The following is a 22,011-nucleotide window of genomic DNA, read 5'->3' as shown; positions in this document are numbered from 1 at the left end:
TATCTCACCCCCAGTCATTCTTAGAGCAGCACCCAAGCCCCCTGATCCTCCATCCGTTTCTCTGCGTGCTGTGTTATGCTGCACCGTAAAATTGATTCCCATTCTTTTCAACTCTGGTCTTATCCGTCAACCCATCCACCATTTTGTGCTCTATGGATAAATGTAGCAATGTGCAGGAGGAAAAGCAGGAATAAAAGAAGGGGAAGGATAAATTAGAGGAAAAAAGAAGAGAAGGTACAAGGAGAACTTTGCACTCATGTAGAAGTGGGAACTTGAAAATAAAACAACAAAATGGTGACCTGATTGTCTTCCATGCTTTCCTTATCAAGCAGAGAACTGGTGAATTGGTCACAGTGATCATTCACATCGGACCATTAATGCGCTGGCTCAAGTGGTCCAAATTACTACCCCATGTTGATGGACACATAACACCCATTCCTTCAATTAGTGGGCAGGTTACAGACAGCTTCCATATACATCCCCGCTGGGCTCTTCACGACTCTTGGCAGTGTGTCTTTAGTGGTGGGGTCTGTGCTCTTCAAAGGGAGTCCATCTACCATAAGCATTTTCCAGGGGAACGTTTGGTTATTGAAAACACCATGTTGTCTGGCATTTATGCCTTTTCCACCAAATGATTTTGGGTTTGCCCCACTGGGGGCTGGATTATTCCATTGTCAACCTATGTGGTTCTAGGTTCGAGTTGGCAAAAGTGACTCTGCATGATATTTAGGAGGCAGAAGAGAAACCACAGCCACTATGTCCTGAAGGTCATTGTTGAGTGTGGGGCCAGAAGTGCTAGAGAGTTCCAGTGTGTCCTCACCCCTTCCCACTCCATACCCAGCTGTCCTTCCAACCAGCAGCGCTGCTGCCCAATGGTAATGCCAGCCCCCCACCAGAGGCACTGCTGTGGCCTGACACAGGCAGTAGCTTCAAAGAGCCAATGACCTTTGGACTGATATCAACCCCTTGTCAACTTCTCAGTGCAGATGCTCCATGTGCTTCGATTCAAGACTTCCTGCAAACTCTGACTCAGTCACCAGCACCAGGGCTGCCTAATGACTTTTCTCCAAATATTAAACGCCCATTTTCAGGCGCTTGCTTCCTTCCCCATCTTTGCCCACAAGGTCTAATATCTATATTAAATGTTTAGTTCTAAAATATTCATAGTGAGTCTGCTTCTCTGAGCCCTGTCTGATACACCTATGAACTCTGGCTGTTATGTTCTTCTGCTCACAGTCTGGGGTTTCCTGTTGAGACATCCTAATATCGGATTCTGGTTGTACCTCACTCGGCTTTCCTTTGGGCAGATGGTGCCCAGAGTGAAAGAAGCGTTCACTGCTCTTTGAACTACTGCTCTTTTATCTTTATTTCCCTTTACTTTTGCTTTGATCCTCCTGTCCAGGAAGTGGCATCTTTAGACACCGCTTCCTGCCACAAGCCCAAGACTTACTCTATTTCTCACTCTCTCACCAGTGTTTGACAAAGGTTGCTAGTCATAAAGAAAGCAGGTCACTGAATGCTATATTTATACTACTACAGAATTTAAGGCAGTATGAAGAAGGCTTTGCTTTATGTGGCTGGAAACTTAAAGTCTGGGTTTGTAGTGGAAATAAAGATAAAAGAGCAGTAGTTCAAAGAGCAGTGATCTTTCTTGTTGGAGCCATGAGAACAATTAATTATAGGTTGTAGGTTAGCCTGGTTTGGGTGCTAATTTCTAGCTCATAGTCATATGTGAACGCTTCTTTTCAATCTCAGTACGGTGGCGGAATGCTAGTTTCTAAACATCCTTGGGATGATCATATGGTCATAAAATCCTTGGCAATAAATAAGTGCTCTGATCTTTTTAGAGTTAATGCACTGTATACAATGTGTTTTAAAGGAGGGGGGATATGGGATGTTTTATTAGTGCAATGTTTCTGGGCGTGTACTTTTGACTTTCTATTGGCAGTGCTGTAGGGGTAGAAGTTAACTGGTAAAAAACCAATAGCAACATAAAGTAATTCTTGTCAGAGAATCATGGAAATGATTCCAGCTCATTACAATGCAAACGGATTTGACCTGGTAGAGATTAAATTTATTTTCATCTAATAGAAAAGCTAACCCCCAAACATTACAGTTTATTACTGTCTAGAATGTTAATCAGTTTACATTTGTTGGCAAGTTTATTTCAGCATTCTTTTGACTGACCATATAAATCTGTTTCTTTCAATAATTTCAACTTTTATTTTAGATTCAGGGGTACACATGCAGGTTTGTTACATGGGTATATTGCATGACACTGAGGTTTGGGGTGTGAATGGTCCCATCACCCAGGTAGTGAGCATAGTACCCCATAGGCAGTTTTTCAGTCCTTGCCCCACTCCCTCTCTCCCGCCTCTAGTAGTCTCCAGTGTTTACATCTGTTCTTCAAATTCTCTTTTGAACCAGTCTTAACATTTTACTGGTTCCCTCATCAATTAATGAGTCACATACAATTTTGACATGGATATGATTTCTATATCTTTGAGAGTCATGTTTTTAACTTTTTTTTTGAGATGGAGTCTCGCTCTGTCATCCAGGCTGGAGTGCAGTGGCGTGATCTCGGCTCACTGCAACCTCCACCTCCCAGGTTCAAGCGATTCTCCTGCCTCAGCCTGCCGAGTAGCTGGGATTACAGGTGCCTGCTGCCACACCCAGCTAATTTTTGTATTTTTAGTAGAGACAGAGTTTCACCATATTGACCAGGCTGGTCTCAAACTCCTAACCTCAGGTGATCCACCCGCCTCGGCCTCCCAAAGTATTGAGATTACAGGCGTGAGCCACCGTGCCTGGCCTTTAACTTTTTGAAAAGCTCGTTTCATTCACATTTGTTTGTTGTTATTTATGTGATGTTAAGACAACTGAACTTGAGGTTTCAGCTATAAACCCAGTTTCAAAGTACAGCTCCCCTAGTCTTAACTTCTCTTCATATACACTCGGAAACATTTGGATGTCTTAGCACCTAGTATGCCTCGATATTCTAAGCACTATAACACACACCTGGAGAGGTGGGAGGCCCACCTGTACAGGCTAGACCATCCATCTGGGCTTGGCTCTCCTGACACTGATGAGGTCATGCAGAAACTCCTGGGATTTGGAGCACCAAATCTCTCAGTTCTTCCTTTAGGATACAATGGTAAGAAGAGGGGACCGGGCAACCACTGTTGACTTATTAAAGTGGAACCAATGGTTAAGAAGTAGCACAGGATTTATATTATCAAAACAGATAAAGAAAATAAACAAATCAAGCACACAATTGCACAAGGGAACTAAAACCATGAAGATTCATTCCTAATTTCTCTCTTTGCCTGTCTAATGGATCTTATTATCCAGTTCTTTACCAGACTTACTTATGATCGGGCATTGTCCAGTCTTTCTACGGAGGTCCCTTGAGGTGGAGGGATCTTCCACAGTGCCTCACATCCCAGTTTTCTTGCAGTCTCTGCCCCTCCCTTCTTCCACATCCCTGAAGGTGACCTGCTCTTTCTCTATTGTCTGGAAAGTTCAGCATGTGTGTACACATGCACAAGCATAGGCACACACAAACACAGAAACAAACACACACCCCTCCATGATTCCTGCTCATCCTTCAGCTCAGACAGCATTTCTCAAGGAAGCTTTTGAGGCCACTCCAGCCCAGAGCAGGCCTTCCTGTTTTACACCGCACAGACTCGCTGCTTTTCCTTCTGAGCTCTTGTATGTGATCATTTGTCTGTCTCCCCCATTGTCAATAAAATCCGGGATCATTGTATCACTACTGTATTCCCAGACCTGGCAGGATGCCTGGCACATAGAAGGTGTTCTTGAATGAATTAATAAGAACTCAATGCCTGTTTGTTACAGTGATGAATAGATGGCTGTTTGGTCTGTTATGGTCCCAAAAAGCAAAAGAAGCTGTTAAAATAGTGTGACTCTGACTTACTGTTCACGTCTGAATAAAAGAAACCATTCAAATTTTGGACTGAGTTTGACAGTCTACTATGTTGGTGAGTTGTGAGGAATCATTTCCATACATTTCTAGGGGGAACTGGTAAACCTGGGAGAACAATTTGGCAAATCTTTAAAGATTTACAAATTTAAAAACCTTCTGACCCAATAATTTCACTTTCAGAAATATATTCTCTACTTATGCTTGCACTTGCATAAAATTATTTGTGTTCAAGGATGTCTATTGAACATTCCACACTGAACTGAAACATTCCACAGGATGTTTCTGGAAGTATCTATAATAAAGTGGCAGCAACAGTTGCTTTGGGGAGGCGAGGTGTGTGGCTGAAGGGTAAGGGTGAGGAGGAGACTGAAGTTTCTTTACAAGGATACTTTAAAATTTGTAATTTTGTGCCTTAATCATGCATGACCTCTTCCAGAAATTCACAAATGTAAAAAGGTTACTATGTAGTAACTGCAAAAAATATGTATTCATAGGAGTTAGATCTAGATTAAGTTTTACTGATGTTCCTTTGATTTTTTCAACCCCAGATTTTCACACATGTACTGTCAATGTATCATTGGCTTAAGCAGTCCCTGCCGTTCATTCCTTCTCTCCTAATCTCCCCCAAACCTTTCAGTCTTTGCAGCACTCCCAAAGTCTTATCTAATTTGGAAACAGGGGACTCCTTCAATGGGAGGTCCAGAAATAAGACTGCATCTGGATGCACATTGAGGTTTGTGACATAAAATCTCACCACCCTCGTGAAACCTGCCTAGTGCATCCTGGCCTACTCTATTGACTTTGGCATCCTTGCCAGCCTTGTCATGCCAATAAGGTTATTGCGACTAAATTGAATGAGCATGTGGCTATGTCCTCCAAATGTTTTATGATACAGTTAAATGGAAAACTGTAGATTACATTTATTTATTTAGTGATAAACCCTTTGTTTATGTTGCTGGTGATCCAGAAAAAGTGGTCTCCTACAACACGCCATGACCTAAACAACGACAAGTTGAATTACTCTTTCATTTACCATAGGAGACTTTCTACCATGTGTTTTGCAGCAATGATTTCTGACACAGCTTAAGAAATGATAAATTACACCCAACGAAAACAAAGAGAAACTCAGAATTTCATAGCATAATTGTAAAGAAAACAGTTATTTGCATCTCTGTCTCCCACATTTTCAAAAAACAATGTACTTGAAACGAAAAAGACCCAAGAATAGTAAAAACAATTTCATTTTCCTCTTATAATTGGAAACATTTGGAGAAAGCACTTTGTCTACTCGGCCTGCATATTTATGGCTTAATTTTAAATAGGGAATGTTACTGTACCTTTGCCTCTCATTTCATTGTTATTGTAATTTTTACAAATGACCAATATCATGTTATTAAAACAAATGTCACAAGTACAACAGCATTCCTGTATACACACACACTAATATAGCTGTCCTTTGTGTTGAAAGACATTCTATGGCGTGCTAACCTTGTCTGCAAGGTCATATAAAAGTGGGAGGCAAAGATAGCAATGCTTTCCACACCCCTTTCAGCAATAATAACAATTGTGTGGCCAAGTTACACGAGGAAAACATGAACTTCTGGTCATTGGTGCTCACACAAAATCATCATAAAAATCCAGATTGGTGGCCGGGCGCAGTGGCTCATGCCTGTAATCCCAGCAATTTGGGAGGCTAAGGCGGGCAAATCACGAGGTCAGGAGATGGAGACCATCCTGGCTAACACGGTGAAACTCCGTCTCTACTAAAAATACAAAAAATTAGCCAGGCGTGGTGGCGGGCACCTGTAGTCCTAGCTACTCGGGAGGCTGAGGCAGGAGAATGGTGTGAACCCGGGAGGTGGAGCTTGCTGTAAGCCGAGATCGTGCCACTGCACTCCAGCCTGGCGACAGAGCCAGACTCCGTCTCAAAAAAATAAAACATAAAAATAAATAAGTTAATTAAAAAAGATTGTTATGAAAACACTCACAGGGTCTTCGTACATCAAAGGACTTTTTTTCTTTCTTTTTTTTTTTTACAGGTTCACAGTGTTCTGCATTCTCCTTTTCCTTTGAATTATCTCTTATTTGAAACTGCATTGAAATAAATCAAATGTATGTTACTTCATCAATGAGACAAATGCTTTTATTGTTAAGAACCAGTAACAATTTCTACTTTCAGAAACAGTGACTTTAGAATTGTATTAACATTTTGAAAGCTAACATCATTATTTTTAACAGTTCCCAGAATTTATTCTACTAATATCGACTAACCTCAAGCTGCAGATGCATTAATTTAATAACCCAGGAACACATTCTCCTGCTCAATTACCCCAGGAGGTTCGCTATGTTTTTCTTCAAATCAGTTGATCCAAGATAGAGATACTGAAGCTCTATGGGTAATTAATTATTTCTGCTTAAAAAGTTTTAGTGATCAAAATCACCTTAGCCAGGGTTTATGGCATTCTCCACTGAGGACTCAGTTAAGCAGTTACTCCCATGTGGTAGTTTCCTGAAAATTCTGACTCCACTTGGACTCTGCGCCTGCTCACGTCGGAGCTCGTATTCTTGACTGGACTCCTCGTTTTCACCAGAGTGTTAATCTCACCCACCACTTCTCCACTTGTTTAAAGTTCACAAATTCTCTCCTTACACTGGTAAAAGGTAAACTGTTTTCAACAGCAAGGAGTACAAAGTCTCAGCTCCAGGAGCGTAGACCATACGGTTATTTTATTGCTTACTTGATAAGAATCTGCAGGAGAGCTCTCTCCAGAGTGCACTCCCAGCTCCATGTCAGCAAGGACCCACGCTCACTGTTTTTTCTCTTGACCCACCTCAGCTAGTTGGCTTTTCTGTTGCATTTCTATTACCTACTGCAAGGCTCTTGTATTGGTTCGAACCCCAAGAACGCGCCAACAAACAACACAAGGTGGAGTGGAGCAACACGCTGTTTTAATGAGCGCCTGGGTGCAGACGGGCTGAGGCCCAAAATGCCATCAGCCTCAAGTGAGGATGGGGCTAGGGTTTTGTAGTCTCCTGTAAACAGTAAGTGTCCCAGTCTGACGTAACTGCTACGTGGTACACCGAAGGACTCTCTCCATTTCCAGGGGGTATGTGTCTTCTGGCCAGCTCTCTTCCTGCTTCTACCATCTTGCTGAAGCATGCTGCTGGCACAAGTGGTCTTGTGCCTTGGGACTGGGCCCGAGGAGGAAGGAGTTATTCATCTCCCCAAGCTTTCAGGCCCCCAGGCTTTCACCTACCTCATGATAGCCACCATTGCACCAGACATCACATTCATGTTCAAGACAGGAAGAAAGAAGAAGAGGCCATGCCAACATCTTTCTTCTCACATCATTCACTTTGTCAGTAGAGCAAGAGCTTTCCTAGGAGCTCCCAAACCTATTTCCCCTTAGTCTTTCTGACTACATCTGTGTCATCTGGCCACTCCGTGTTGCAAGGAAACCTAGGACATGGACCATCAGGCTTCTATTTTTAAAAGATAGACAAGGGAAATGGGGTTGGGAGTAGCTGTTGAGATAGCTAAGTAATGAGTGGCTGTCTCAACAGGCAAACAGATTGTTGGAACTCCTAGGCTTAATCAGAGCACCACCCTGGGCTGAATTTTACTCATCTTGAGAGGTGAAGCCAGCTAGACTTCCTGGGTCAACTGGGGACTTAGAGAACTTTTCTGTCTTACAAGAGAATTGTAAAATGCACCAATCAGTGATCTATAAAAATGCACCAATCAGCATTCTGTAGCTAGCAAGAGGATTGTAAAATGCACCAATCAGCAAGATCCTAAAAGTAGCCAATCACAGGGAAGGTTGAAAAAAGGGCATTCTGATAGGACAGAAAAGGAACACAGAAGGGGACAAATAAGGGAATGAAAGCTGGCCACCCCATAAAGCAGTGGCAACCTGCTTGGGTCCACTTCCACACTGTGGAAGCTTTGTCCTTTCGCTCTTCACAATAAATCTTGCTACTGTTCACTCTTTGGGTCGATGCCATGCCATCTTTAAGAGCTATAACACTCACCGAGAAGGTCCGCAGCTTCATTCTTGAAGTCAGCGAGAACATGAACCCACTGGCAGGAACCAACTCCAGACGCCATCTCCCCTCCATCTTATGTGTGGTCAGGCATTCTCTTCACTCTTCCAGAAACTCTGAGATCTAGCCTTGAAACCTGCTGGATCAGTAGAGATCACACATTTTTGCCCTTTGCAGAATCACTGTAGCTTACTTCAATAGTAGTGCTAAACCATAAACTTCCATGGAAACTCTTATACTGCAGGGCCCAGGCCCATGAAATCCACTATTGAGCTTGGCTGTAAAGATGCTGTTGAGAACCCTTTCCCTGCATTGCTCCCTGCTCCCTGCTCTCACAGGTAAGCCCTAAGAGATTTCTTTCAGAATTTGGTGCTGGGGAAGGTTTGCTTGCTCTAGGGCAAATTTGTCCATTCCATGGCCTACCGGCCACATGTGGCCCAGGATATCTTTGAGTGCAGCCCAACACAAATTCATAAACTTTAAAATATTATGCTTTTTTTTTTTGCTCATCAGCTATCGTTAGTGTTGGTGTATTTTATGTGTAGCCCAAGACAATTTTTCTTCTTCCAGTGTGGCCCAGGGAAGCCACCCCTACTCTAGGGAAATTTGCACTCCATCTTCTTTCTGATAACACAAATAACATAAAGCATGGTCTCTTCTACCTGTCCTTGGGTACCAGGAAGCACAGATCCAAGTTTGAACCATGACTGTAACAAGTGTTCACCCCAACCCCGGGATCTGTTTGTCTTCTTGTTCTTCATGATATGGGGTTCATTTTGTTATTGTTTTGTTGACTGTATTTTGTTGTAACCCATCACACATTTTCTGTAGAGAAGGGGTAATCGGTAGACAGGGAAGAGAGAAACATTTACTTCAGCACGTTTTATCAAAGCAAACTTCAAAGGCTGAAATAATCACAGCGGTGAAGCAAAGGGGTCATTAGTGGAGAGTAGGTTGACAGGATATCATTATTTCTCAGTCTATAAAATACTTCCAGTTTAAATGGATCCCTACTGACCAAAGGTTGAGTTCTAAAATCTTCATTTTTATATTTTTTATACTATTTCTACCTGCTGATACTTTTATGTATTTCATTTCCCAAATTGTTCTTTTCACTAATTTAATACTTAAAAACCACCAAATGATCAATATTGACATATGTTGATTTTCAGGACTGGCCAGTTGCCCATCAAATAAGCATCCTTTTCTTCTGTGAGGACAAAACCTTGATTTAGTTGGGGGTGCCAAAGTGCCCACCTAAAAAGCCTGTATTTCCCAGCTTCCCTTACGGTTAGGAGTGGCCACTTGACCTGATTCTGGCTCTGAGATTAGCTAGAATTTGCTAGGAGGGATTCTCAGGAAAGCCCTTTAAAGGGGCAGACTCAGCTGGTATCTTAGTTTGAGCTCCCTCAAGAAGGAGCTTGAGACGAACTTGGGTGCAGGTGGTTTATCTTGGAGTTCATCCCAGGTAACAGAAATGGGGGAGAGGGAAAAAAGGAAGAGAGGAAAGCAGTGAAGGAGGCATTAATAGGCCAGTTGCCAGTGAGTACCTCAGTCTGCCGTGGGACCCTGCACACAGTGGACCATGCCTCACGATCGTCTCAGTGGAGGACTACGAGGCTGGGCTGCCTAGTTCCCCATTGCTTGGGATCTCCCTTGGGTTCTTAGCTCCCCCATACTAACTGATTGTTCTTTCATGTGGTTGGGTGGTCTTCTGTGGCTCCAGCAAAGCAAAGAGGCATCATGGTGTGGCTGGTGTGTGATGCTTACCACGTGTGTGGATCTATGGACATGGCTGGCTGGAGTGAAGATGGCCAAGGGAGTGCCGCCAGAGCATCCCAGGCACCCCAGAGCCAGTGTGCATACCTATGCACTCCACTTCTCCTCCTGTACTCTCCCCAAAATGTCAACATGACAGCTGGGACTCTAGTAGCTGTGAACACAAAATGAAGGCCACACTCTAAAAAGGGCTCTGGATTGAAAAACTAGAAAAAGCCTGATGTCACCATGGAGCTGATAAATCCTTGGACTATGTAACTTGAAGCTTGAGAGAAAAATAAACACTCATGTTGTTTAAGCCTCAGTCATTAGTTTTCCTTTTAAATAGAGCTGAACTCAGTCATAATGGATACACATCCCTAGTGCCAGACACATTCACTGGATTCAGGCTTCCTGGTACCATTAATAAGCCAGTGGTCTTCACTGTGACTCACTCCCTCTGGCTCAGCTCAGGCCGAGTTCCTTCTTTGTGAAAATGACCCAGAGGAAATCTTTCTCCCTTTGAATTTTTCTAAGCTGTCTGGAAATCAAGTTGCATTTTTCCTTCCCCATGAATGCTATCGAAAACATCACTAAACATCTGAGTTTACTGTGTTTTTTTCTCTTCAACAGATTTTGTGTTAATCAGAGTAGATGAAGTGCTATAACAAACAATCTCAAACTCTCGGTGACACACCATAATGAAGGTTTATTTCATCATCATTTCACAATCAAGGTTGGTTGGAGGGGGCTTTGATCCATGCAGTCCTCCAGGGCCCCAAGCATCTGCTATCGAGCGGTTCTGCCATCCCCTAGGGCCTTGGAGGCCTCCACTGGATCATCCATGTCTGACCAGCAGGAGAGAGAAGAGCAAGAGTGTGGAGGATGCCACAGGCAGTTTCATGGCCTGAGCTTGGATGTGGTGGATCCCACTTCTGCCACCTTCACTGCTTCTCAGGTCACATGGCCTCACAGACCTGCGGCAGAAGCTGGGAAATTCAGTCCAGCTGGGTTTCCAGGAGGAAAAGAAAGTAGAGCTTAGTGAGTACTTAACATGCCACTGCCATACATGTTTAAAAGCTCCCAAGGAGGCCAGGCATAGTGGCTCACACCTGTAATCCCAGCACTTTGGGAGGCCAAGATGGGTGGATCACCTGAGGTCAGGAGTTCGAGACCAGCCTGGCCAACATGACAAAACCCTGTCTCTACTAAAAACGCAAAAATTAGCTGGGTGTGGTGGCACATGCCTGTAATCCTAGCTACTTGGGAAGTTGAGGCAGGAGAATCACTTGAACCTGGGAGGCAGAGGTTGCAGTGAGATCACGCCACTGCACTCTGGGCAACAGAGTGAGACTTCAATCTCAAAAAAAAAAACAAAAAAGAAATACTTCTAAGGAATCCTCCCAACAGGGCCGGGACAGTCTGGCTACCACGATCTTGAGACTTGTGCTCACACCCTTCAAAAACTGCTTTTGGCCGGGTGCAGTGGCTCACGCCTGTAATCCCAGCATTTTGGGAGGCCAAGGTGGGTGGATCACGAGGTCAGGAGATCAGACCATCCTGGCTAACACGGAGAAACCCCATCTCTACTAAAAACACACAAAAAATAGCTGGGCATGGTGGCGGGCGCCTGTAGTCCCAGCTACTCGGGAGGCTGAGGCAGGAGAATGGCGTGAACCCGAGAGGCAGAGCTTGCAGTGAGCCGAGATTGTGCCACTGCACTTCAACCTGAGTGACAGAGCGAGACTGTCTCAAAAAAAAAACCAAAAAAAAACAACAACTGCTTTTACACATTGTAGAACTTTGTGTTTTAAAGTTTACACCTGGAGATTTTCATCATAAATTTAAACCATTGTGAATGGATATCATTTTTGGCATAGTATAGACACTGAAATTTGTGGTGGTCACCAGACGATGCTCCACCCAGATCCCCCATCAAGGAAAGACTTGTCCCAACCCCCTCCACTGCTGGGAGCACTACCAGCTTGCAGCTGGGTTAGGATGGCCTCAGGCGCAGAGCTGCCTGGCCCTGGTTCATGCCCTTCCCCAGGCAGCCCCCCTCAATGACTGGCTGTGGTGGGAGTACAAGGCTCGAGGCAAGGGTGGGGCAATTCTGATGACCCTTTCAGTGGCAGAGCTTCCCTGGGGCTGCCAAGTCTGCTGGGGACCTGCATCGCAGCTAACTTCTTCCTCTCCCCAACTCCTGCTTCCTTCCCCTTCCTTTCTCAGGGGTTCCCCCCAAGGGCACCCCCCATAGACATTCTACACACGAAACTCCAGCCCATGATCCCCTTTCCAGAGACCCACCCGACAACAGCTTTTCAAAATGAAATGGTCATCCTGTTCCGCTACAGCAGAAATACATAAATATATTTAAATTAACTTTAAAAACAATCCTTAGTGCCATAAGCTTTCAAGCAATTAAAAATGTGTTCCAAGTTGAGTTGCCATTTCAAGTTAATGTCAATCATTATTAAAAAGAAAAAGTAATTTTGGGGGGAAATGCATCTGTAATGGACAGGAAGTTGTATGCTCCCTAGAAGGAAACACCAACACTGGGGGACACCAATATTTGTATTACGTCCTTGTTGGGCACTCTGAAGGTGTTTCTACCTTGAAGCAATTCACGTAAGAATATTCAGGAAGGATAAAGATATGCCTTGCTTTTATAAAGTGGGAAAAGGCCAATTTTAAAAGTAAAGAAAGAAAAACCAACCTAATACCTCCTGACCAATTTTAGAAGAGTACAGCTGCCAATTTATTTTCTGAAAACCATCGGGGTCTGGATTACAAATCTCAGAGCTAGCAGGAAATGTTCACACCCCCGTTTGAAGATCGTGTCCACTGCACAGAATCCTCCTACCCTGTGTTCTTTCCTTTATTTCTGTTTCAGACATGTTGGTCATGTCGATCAATTACAAAGCACTCCCCAAGAGGAACGTCCCTCCCGTGGTGCCTCCTGAAGTGACGCCCCTCTGCCATTGTGCATTGCACCTGCCACAGCTGATTAGACCAGGGGTGGCGTCTGATTTCAGTCTCTCTCTGTTGCCTAGGCTGGAGTGCAGTGGTGCAATCATAGCTCACTGTAGCCTCCAACTCCTGGGTTCAGGCGATCCTCCCCACTCAGTCTCCCAAGTAGCTGTGATTACAAGCATGAGTCACCGTGCCCAGCTGGCATCTGATTTGACAACCACCAATGTATAGGCCAGCCAGTGATCGATGCCTGCACAAAACGATGAACAGAGCCAATCAGAGCCTCTGTTTTGAAGGAATCTGAGTTGTGGACATGGAGAATACCATGCAGTTAGAAAAGAAAGCAGGAGGCAAGTCGACCCAGGAGAGGAGCCAAAGGCCAGAGTCACAGCCACACAAGGCCACTAGGTGAATGGGGGTGAGTCTATAGGGAGGAGGAGATGGGGAGAGAGGTGCTGCTGCCCCCCCTCTCAGGAGCTCAGCATGCTGGGCACCAAGATCTCCTGGATCCCCACAGGCGCCTGCACACTTGACGATCCCTAGTTACCATGGTATCCATAGGGATGGTGGCCATCTCTTGCTGCGTAACCAACCTCCCTTAAAACGCAGTGGTTTAAAACAACAGGAGTCACTTACACTGTTTATGTATTTGCGAGTAGGGCGGGGCTTGGCGGGGACTACTTTTCCTGCTCACAATGAATCTTAGCTGGGATGTCTGGGGGCTCAGATCCCGGAGCCAGTGGCCCAAAGTCAGGTCCCTCAAGCTGTCCAGTGCTCCTCCCAACCCCAGGTTGCTTCTTAGGTGAAGGGTGGACATTACCAGTAACTGCAAGTTGCTGGAGTCCTGTTGCCCCTTCTTTGTTCTCCCTGGAGCCATTTCTCACCACAGGCTTCCTTTTCATGGCCAGCACAAAACTCCCTGAGTTCTGAAGGATGTAGAATAATCGCAACAGTTACGTCCAATTGTCTGCAGTTTGACCTGAATGCTGCTGATTCAGGGCACGGGTGGAGACCACACCCCATGGGTGGTCCAGGGCTATTACTTCACTTTGGAAGGTGGTCAAATGAGCTACCACTTTACCTTGGAAGAATTATCAGTGGAAGCGCTTGGGGCACCAAGGAAAGAATACAGAAAGTTCTGTCGCATACACAGTGCTCTATAAAGATGTCCCAGTTATCTTTTCATCCAGAGGCTCGAACTGCCGGCTTACAGAAAAAATACAGCTTATACAGATATTTATCTTGCTTGGCCTATACTCTGCTTAAAAAAAATTCCCGACTTTTAAAACCTGGGAGAGTTGTGTTCAAAAAAATGGCTTTATGGCCGGGTGTAGTGGCTCACGCCTGTAATCCCAGTACTTTGAGAGGCCGAGGCGGGCAGATTGCCTGAGCTCAGGAGTTGGAGGTCAGCCTGGGCAACATGGCGAGACCCCATCTCTATTAAAAATACAAAAAAAAAAAAAAAAAAACAAGCATGGTGGTGCGCACCTGTGGTCCCAGCTAGTCGGGAGGGTGAGGTGAGAGGATCGCTCGAGCCTGGTGGGTGGAGGTTGTGGTGAGCTGAGATTGCACCACTGCACTCTAGCCTGGGTGACAGAGCGAGACTCTGTCTCAAAAAAAAAAAAAAAAAAAAAAAAAAGGTTTTCTGACTTCTGTTGAAGAGACTGGAGGCCGTGGAAATACCAGGCCACTTTCTCGCATGGACTGAGTGGTTCCTGAGCCCCCGTCTACCTGCCTCGCTCCTTCAGGCTTCTGAGTTTGAGGTCCCCATGGCTTTCAGGGGAAACATGAGTGGCAGGCAGTGGCTGGAAACAGTGTGTAGCCACATTTTAGTCTTGCATTTCATAGACTGCCATGCCAGCCCCCTGTTAGTTTTGAACTGCTTGTTCAAGGCCTGAGCTGACACACATGAGACAGGGTTGAGGCTGATGGAACAAGAGGGGAGCTGGCCTAGGGAGTCAGCCAGAGGCCACAGACTCTGTGCCATCAAGCACAGGCTCTCCCTCTCCAACAACGCCTTGCGAACCTGGAGACTGGCAGGTTACCTGGGGTGAAGGTCCCAGGTAAGTAGGGCCACACGGGCTGCAGTTTAGCATAAAGATTGTTTCCCAGATGCCGGGCCAGAAGATTCTGCAAGTGTAAAGGAAGCATATTTGTCGAGTGATACTAGCTTCTTCCTCCACACATTGACATGATTTTTACTGCATTTCTCATAATCATTTTATTACCTATTAAGTGCAAGTTCCCAGGTCCTAATGCTTCTCGCAACGATGGCATTGTTGGCACAGCAGGCTGTTTCGGTCAGGGCTGCTGTCTGCTGGAGGGGAGTCCTTTGTCAAGGAGCAAAGCTTGTTCTCAATCTAACATCACACCAGGCCCCAGAAAAACCACAAGTCCTCGGAACTGAATGTTGAACCACAGTGTTCTCCCCAGGGTCTGGTCCTCAGCTTGGATTGCCTGCAGGAGGAACCTGTGCCTCCTGAGGACATTCTAGTGGGGGGTAGATGTCACATCGTCATATTTCTCTGGCTCTACCACCACTAGAAGAACCTCAGACCCCAGTTAGTGCAGGGACGCCCTGGAAGGTAACTCACATGTGCTCCACAGGTGCCGGCTGGCATCGGCTGTTTTCCCTCTCTGATGCTGCTTCTGACTGCTGATGCCTGCAGCAGAGACCACCCAAGCTCCAGGGAGGCTGGCATTCCTGCATGACCACATCTGGACCTCTGGCACCCCAGCCATGCGTGGCCTCCAACGGGGACCCCAGGGAGAGAGCTGTCTTCACTCCCCACCCCACCGCTGCAGCCCGGTCACCCAGAGCAGAGCTGCCTGGGCCCCACACCTGGAGCTCTGAGTGTCACTGATCTTTGGAACTTCGTCTTCCAGGGCTCAGCTCTGGTCTATGGGGCTGGGGCTGAGGACAGCCCAGGCAACCAACACCATGCAGCGTGTTTCACTTGCCCATTGCTCATGAACCTCAATTCTTTCTGCCATTTATTCAAGTCCCTCCAGCCCCCCACACTGGTCTGGATCCTAGGCCTGAACACGGCTCAGGTTCCCAGTGGGACCCTGGACTTGGGGCTACACATGGGCTAACCCAGAGCAAAAGCTGCACAAGGTGTTTTCCTGACCCCTCAGATAAAATATGGCCCTTCACCCCTCCCGGTAACCCTCTCAGTCCCTTCCTCTGCTTATGTTTTCGTCTCATTGCTTCCTGTTCTATTTTACTTTATTTTTTATTTATTTTCTGTCTCCTGTCACGAGAACGTTAGACTTTGAGAGCAGGAAATTGATATTGATGAGTGCTGTATTCCTAGCACCCCGAACAGTGCTGGGCACAAAGTTGGTGCATAATAAATGTGTTGAGATAAAAAAGTAAGAGTGGACAGGGGTTGATTTTCCATTCTATAACATGACTTCTTTCACTTATTAGGCATGGCTAAGGAACCGAAGACGCAGAGTGGAAGATAGGATGGGAGGGACTTGCTGGGCTCTGCTTTCTGTAATCTGCCTTGGCAATAAAAATGGCCAAGGAGAGAAAAGATGCTACGATTCTTTCCAAACTGATACAGGTTTGATCACTTTGAATGACAATGACATTCCCAGGAGACAAGGAAAAAGCTAGAGTTCCTGGCCCAAATGTAGCAGATTGTTCTGTGTCAGATTGTGCCTTCTCTAGCATGGACACACCATGTCTTCTACTTGGCCCAGGGTTCAATATCAATCAATATCCATAGAAGGATAATGTGCCTGGCACTATGCTAGGTACTAGGTAGAGAGTGACAGATGACATTTGGGAGTGACACAAGAAATGAATAAACAAATAAGATAATTTCAGGTAGTGACAAGTTCTTTATAGACAATAACAGCAGGTGACATGATGAGGGTGGCATCTTATCTGTATTGATATATGCCCACTGTGGAAGGATGCCTCTTGGATATCTGACTCTGAGTTTTCAGAAGACTGTAGAACTAAGCCCTTTACATTGCATTTTAAAATATCTAAACCCAAGCAGGAGACTAAGAGAGCTTAATCTGGAAGGCTTCGCTGCACTTACAAATTCACTGGAAATTCACCAGCATCTGTTATTTTTCTGTTGAAGATGGTTTATATGTCAAATCTGGGCTCATGAGTCTATCCCACTTAACTTTCTTACTCATTTCCAATTTTTAACTGCCTCTTAAATAATAAACATTTATTGAGTTTGCCATGTGTCAAGCTCAGGAGCAAGAGATACGAAATGAATGTGATAAAGGTGAGTGGGTCTTCTTAGTGGCTGAGGGCAGAGACTATGGAATCAGGCAGGTTTGGGTTAGAATCCTAGTTCCTGCCCTTCCTCCCTAGCAGCTAGCTCCTGCCTATTGGAGCCCTTTTCCTCTCTTGTAAAATGGGAACGATCCTATCCAGCTTGCAAAGTTGTTGGGTTATTTAAATGAGATAAATGTGGTCTCCCATAGGAGATATTCAATAAAGGGAAGCCATTTCTTGCCTGAGACACCTGGTTTCCGGGAACAAGCAGGAACTTGAAGCGGTTCAGTGATGCATTCTCCTGAATGGGGACCTCGCATTTAAGGAATTGGTGCAAATGGAGGCTCAAAATGCTGTCTATTGTCCCAGAATAGTGTGTCACAGAAAGCCACGGTGGTGACTGGGGGCGGCACATTCTCTGTGCATGGGACATGGACACTTCATGTAGGAGCAGCCGGCTTCTCTGGGGCCATGGCTCCCTTCGGGCACAGTTATCAGATTCGTGACAATGTGGAAGATCTAATAATAGTGTTTTCCACCCCAAGAGCAGGGGGCTGCTTTGCATATTTTGCATCTTTTGTAGCTCCCTAAATGACTTGGTAATCTGAAACATGCCCATGGAGAGCCTTGTTTTGTTTGTTCTTATGCTTTCATGCAAACATCAAGCAAGAGGAATTTGTTATAAATAGCTTGCAACTATTTAGTGAAAAAAATAGAAAAATAAAGTTGGGTGGTCACTAGGCAGACTTCTGGACAAATGCAAGCTCCCTCAGCAAGAATGGTCAAGTGGAACGGCATGCCATGGGTGCTGGCTATGGACCTATGTTCATCCTAACTCAACCCTGAGGAATGTCTGCTTCCAGGGCCTCGTGTCTGTGAGTGGCTTGGAATCACGGGTGAGGGAAAACATCTCCCCAGAGCCCACTCACTGGGACACGTTCACCCACATGGAGGGTCAACCTTAGACAGATTTGGAAGAGTAATTCTCAGCTTTAGGAGGCCAGCGGGGGAAAAACTAAGAAATTCTGTAAAAGGAATAGTGTGGAACTTTCCATCTAGTTTTTTCTCTGTAATTGCTGGTTCAAATTTTCATATTTAGAAGTTGCAAGCTCAGTGTGGCAAACATGTGAAAGGGCATCTACTCTTTCTGCCACTTCCTTCATCGCCAGGAATCTACTGTTGGAAAAGGACAAGCATGTGTGTGTGTGCACGCGTGTGTGTGTGTGTGTGTGTGTGTGATGAAGAACCTTCTCTTATGATTCCATTATGGTGCTATTTCTGGAGAGTAACTGCAGCAGTAGGAAAGTCCTGATTTGTGTGTTCAGTAGGCTATTGTGACAGAATAACCCAGGGAGTGGATCTTTCCAGAGGCCCTTGGGACTGCCTAGGTGCAGAGATACTTTGCTAATGGTGTTGATACCATTTTTCATAAACACATTCTTCTTTGTGCTGTAATTTGCATATGACATTTCCATGATTCTGCAGAATTCATGAGCTGAAATCTCTATTGTTATAAACTTTGCAAAGTATTTTAGAAATAATTATATAAACTCAGCATAAGCTCGATTTCCATTCTTGCTTTATCACTTTTCTGGTCTCTGCTGGGAATGCCTCATGAATATTTGATGCATCCATGGTACACTCTTAAGGAGAAGAGCATTTTCTGCTGTAGATGAAGTAGAAGATTTTTCTGTCCACGAATGGAACCTGAGAGGAGCTATTTTCCTTACCTTCTTTCTCAAATGAAGCCACCAGTGCAGACGATGTAAATGACATAATTGTCTGTATGTTGTGTGCGCATGTGTATTTTGACTAACCATGGGAATACTGTTCAGGTATTCCTTAGATTGATTACTTCTATCACTAGATTTTGCTGCCAGCTTGGGCCTTTCATCAGAGGCCTTTCTGGTTGAATGAGAAAAGCAAGGCAGTAAGGCACTGCGTGGAGAGAACATGTGCTTTCTGTTCACTGATGGGGAGAGGGTCTGCCACCCCAAAATGACAATGTGAAGACAAAGCAAACACAGTCTCCACTTTCTGGCCATACACATTAGCTTTGGAAAATGTGTCTTCTGAAATTCCACCTCCTCCCACTCTGCCATCCAAATAAGGCCTCTTTCCAAGAAAAACATCAGCGGTTCCAGTTCTGCTTCCAGTATCTTGCATGGGAAGTCTCTGTTTTAATAGGGGTACTGCTGGGTATATTTCACTGTTTCCAAGAGTGGAATAAAGCAGTGTGCGGGCTATCAACCTTATTAGTAGCTGATGACAGGTATTTGCAATCCACGGAGAAATATGTAAAGATGGAGTAGACTGAAGCAGATTCTGGTGATACTTTAATAATAAAACACATCCCCAACACGGCTCACACAGGCAGAGTTTGTCATCTCCTCCTCTGTTCCCAGAGGTTTCTATCCATATTGCAACTATGGAACTCATATGTTAACATGACTACCCAGGCCACGTAGCCTTGAGCTCTGAAACCTAAGGATATGACTTGCTGACTTTGGATCCTCAGTGCTTAGAGCAACTTCTAGCACATAAAATAGATGGCTACTGACTAAGTGGTTGAATTTCAACTGCTTTATCATTAACAAGGATTTCCACATGTATTAGCATATCTATCTGAAGATTCTGAATGTTCTGTCCCTTTAAGCTCTCTTTGACTCTTCAGTTCAGCCCTATGTTGACCAAAATCAGAGTTCAGCATGGTGGACACCAAACAACTAATCAATTAACTTACCACTCTTTCATCAATTGACTTTATGCTGTATGTAAATTTTAAAATCAATCATTTATAAACACAAGCAGCTCTAAAATTGCTTTGGCATCTTGGGTTTTAATCTTTAAGAAAAACAAAATCATCTTTGAAGAAAAATCAGAAGAAAATTTTTTTTTACATATTCCATATCATCTGAATTTCTCTGAATCAAAGTGCTTTTTTCAAAAAAAGCACCTATTTTGACAGAAATAAGATAAAGAAATGATTAAGCGGAGAATGCACAGTTAGCCTACATATGGGATTCTCAAACTTTAGGGAAGCATCTAAACAGAAAAAGATGTCTGGGTGGGATCCAAAAACTTTCAGTTCTAGCAAGTTCCCAGGTGACGGTGATGATGATGATAATGGTGATGGTGATGCTGGTAATGGTGATGGTTGTGATGATGGTGACAGTGGTGCTGGTGGTCATGATGGTGGTGATGGAATGGTGGTGGTGGTTATAGTAGTGATGGTGGTGGCAGTGGCGGTGGTGGTGATGGTAGTGGTGGTGGTGGTGGTGATGGTGGTGGTGGTGGCAATGGTGGTGGTGGTGGTGGTGGTGATGGTGATTGTAGTGGTGGTGGTGATGGTGATGGTGGTGTTGGTGTTGGTGGGGGTGATAGTAGTAGTGATGGTGGTGGTGGTGGGTGGTGATGGTGGTGGTGGTAATGATTATAACGCTAAGTGGTAATGATGGTGATGGCGATGATGGTGACGTCAATGACATTGGCCTGGAGACCACACATGGAGAACCCTGAATTCAATCAGAGAAGTAGTATAAGGGTTTGGAATTGAATTTATCAATTGTTTGATGTGATGCAACAGATGGATGTCTTGTCATTGGACAAAGTCTCTCTTTCTATATGTCTTATTGTTTTCCCCATTAAAAAAAAAAATCTGGGCCAAGTGTGGTGGCTCATGCCGGTAATCCCAGTACTTTGGGAGACTGGAGAGACTTGGGAGACTTTGGGAGACTTGAGCCCAGGAGTTCGAGACCAGCCTGGGCAACATGGCGAAAACCCTCTCTACAAAAAGTTTAAAAAATGAGCTGGGCATGGTAGTGCACACTTGCAGTCCTTGCTATTTGGAAGGCTGATGATCTCCTGAGCCCAGGAGTTCAAGGCTGCAGAGAGCCATGATGACACCACTGCACTCCAATCTGGATGACAGAGGGAGACTGTGTCTCAAAGAAAAAAATCTGTATATATTTGACAAAGACACCAGATTGGGAGGATGGCAGAATAGTGCAGTGGTGAACAACCAGCTCTCAACAACAGTAGCAACAAAAGCCCTGATTTGCAGCATTTGCCTCCATGGTGCAGCTCCCTCTGCTGTGGTCACCCTCAAGTTGCCAGCATGAATTCAGGGGACCTGGAGTCGGGAAGGGCTAGCAGCACACACTTCGAATTAGACACAGGCCCAGCCCTGTTCCCTAAAGCCATGTGTTACCTTCTGGGCGTGAGGCTTAATCTCCTTAAGCCTCCTTCTTCTTATCTGTAAAACAGACATAGTAATAGCCCCTTAGGAGCTTGGAGGAGCTGCCCAGCGCCGGGCTCCAGCACTCCACAACAGTAGCTGCAATGTCTAAGCAAAGCATTGCCTGGTCTCAGCCACCTGTGCGGAAGCGGAGAAAGCCTGTTTGAAATAAGGTCTTCTGTGGCCGGGCGCGGTGGCTCACGCCTGTAATCCCAGCACTTTGGGAGGCCGAGGTGGGCGGATCACAAAGTCAGGAGATCGAGACCATCCTGGCTAACACGGTGAAACCCCATCTCTACTAAAAATACAAAAAATTAGCCGGGCCTGGTGGTGGGTGCCTGCAGTCCCAGCTACTTGGGAGGCTGAGGCAGGAGAATGGCATGAACCCGGGAGGTGGAGCTGGCAGTGAGCCGAGATGGTGCCACTGCACTACAGCCTGGGCGACAGAACAAGACTCTGTCTCAAAAAAAAAAAAAAAAAAAAAAAGAGACAGAGAAATAAGGTCTTTTGTAAAAAAGCTCTCGCGTCATCTTTGTCTCTGTTTTATAAACCTTCCCGTGGGATGTTCCGTAGGTCAGCTTCCACATGATTACTGAATTCGCTTTCAGAGCAAATTAAATTTCTCTCCAATTCGTTCACTTGGTTCTTTGTTCTAGTACCCAGAAGGTTTTGTCTTCTGGATGCTAGAAACATACACCATACAGATAATTGGAGTTTCAAAACCATTGATGCCCTGATTTTCTTGGGCAAATTCATAATCTGAACATGGGTCTGGTACTTGGATTGTAAACTTCCCTGCAT

At 45.0% G+C, this 22,011-nt stretch overlaps 2 annotated features.

The window, feature by feature from the left end:
* Positions 1,578-1,677: an enhancer, noted in NCBI's record as "active region_28641". NCBI's record gives its function as "activates an Ori minimal core promoter by ATAC-STARR-seq in GM12878 lymphoblastoid cells {active_cell/tissue: GM12878}" and the evidence as "EXISTENCE:reporter gene assay evidence [ECO:0000049][PMID:35858748]".
* Positions 15,389-15,572: a silencer, noted in NCBI's record as "fragment chr9:98472872-98473055 (GRCh37/hg19 assembly coordinates)". NCBI's record gives its function as "represses an EF-1alpha promoter that drives an FKBP-Casp9 reporter gene in an ReSE screen in K562 erythroleukemia cells {active_cell/tissue: K562}" and the evidence as "EXISTENCE:reporter gene assay evidence [ECO:0000049][PMID:32094911]".

This window comes from Homo sapiens, chromosome 9 (assembly GCF_000001405.40).
Source record: "Homo sapiens chromosome 9, GRCh38.p14 Primary Assembly".
Taxonomy (NCBI): domain Eukaryota; kingdom Metazoa; phylum Chordata; class Mammalia; order Primates; family Hominidae; genus Homo; species Homo sapiens.
This window is presented reverse-complemented; position numbering and strand designations above follow the sequence as displayed.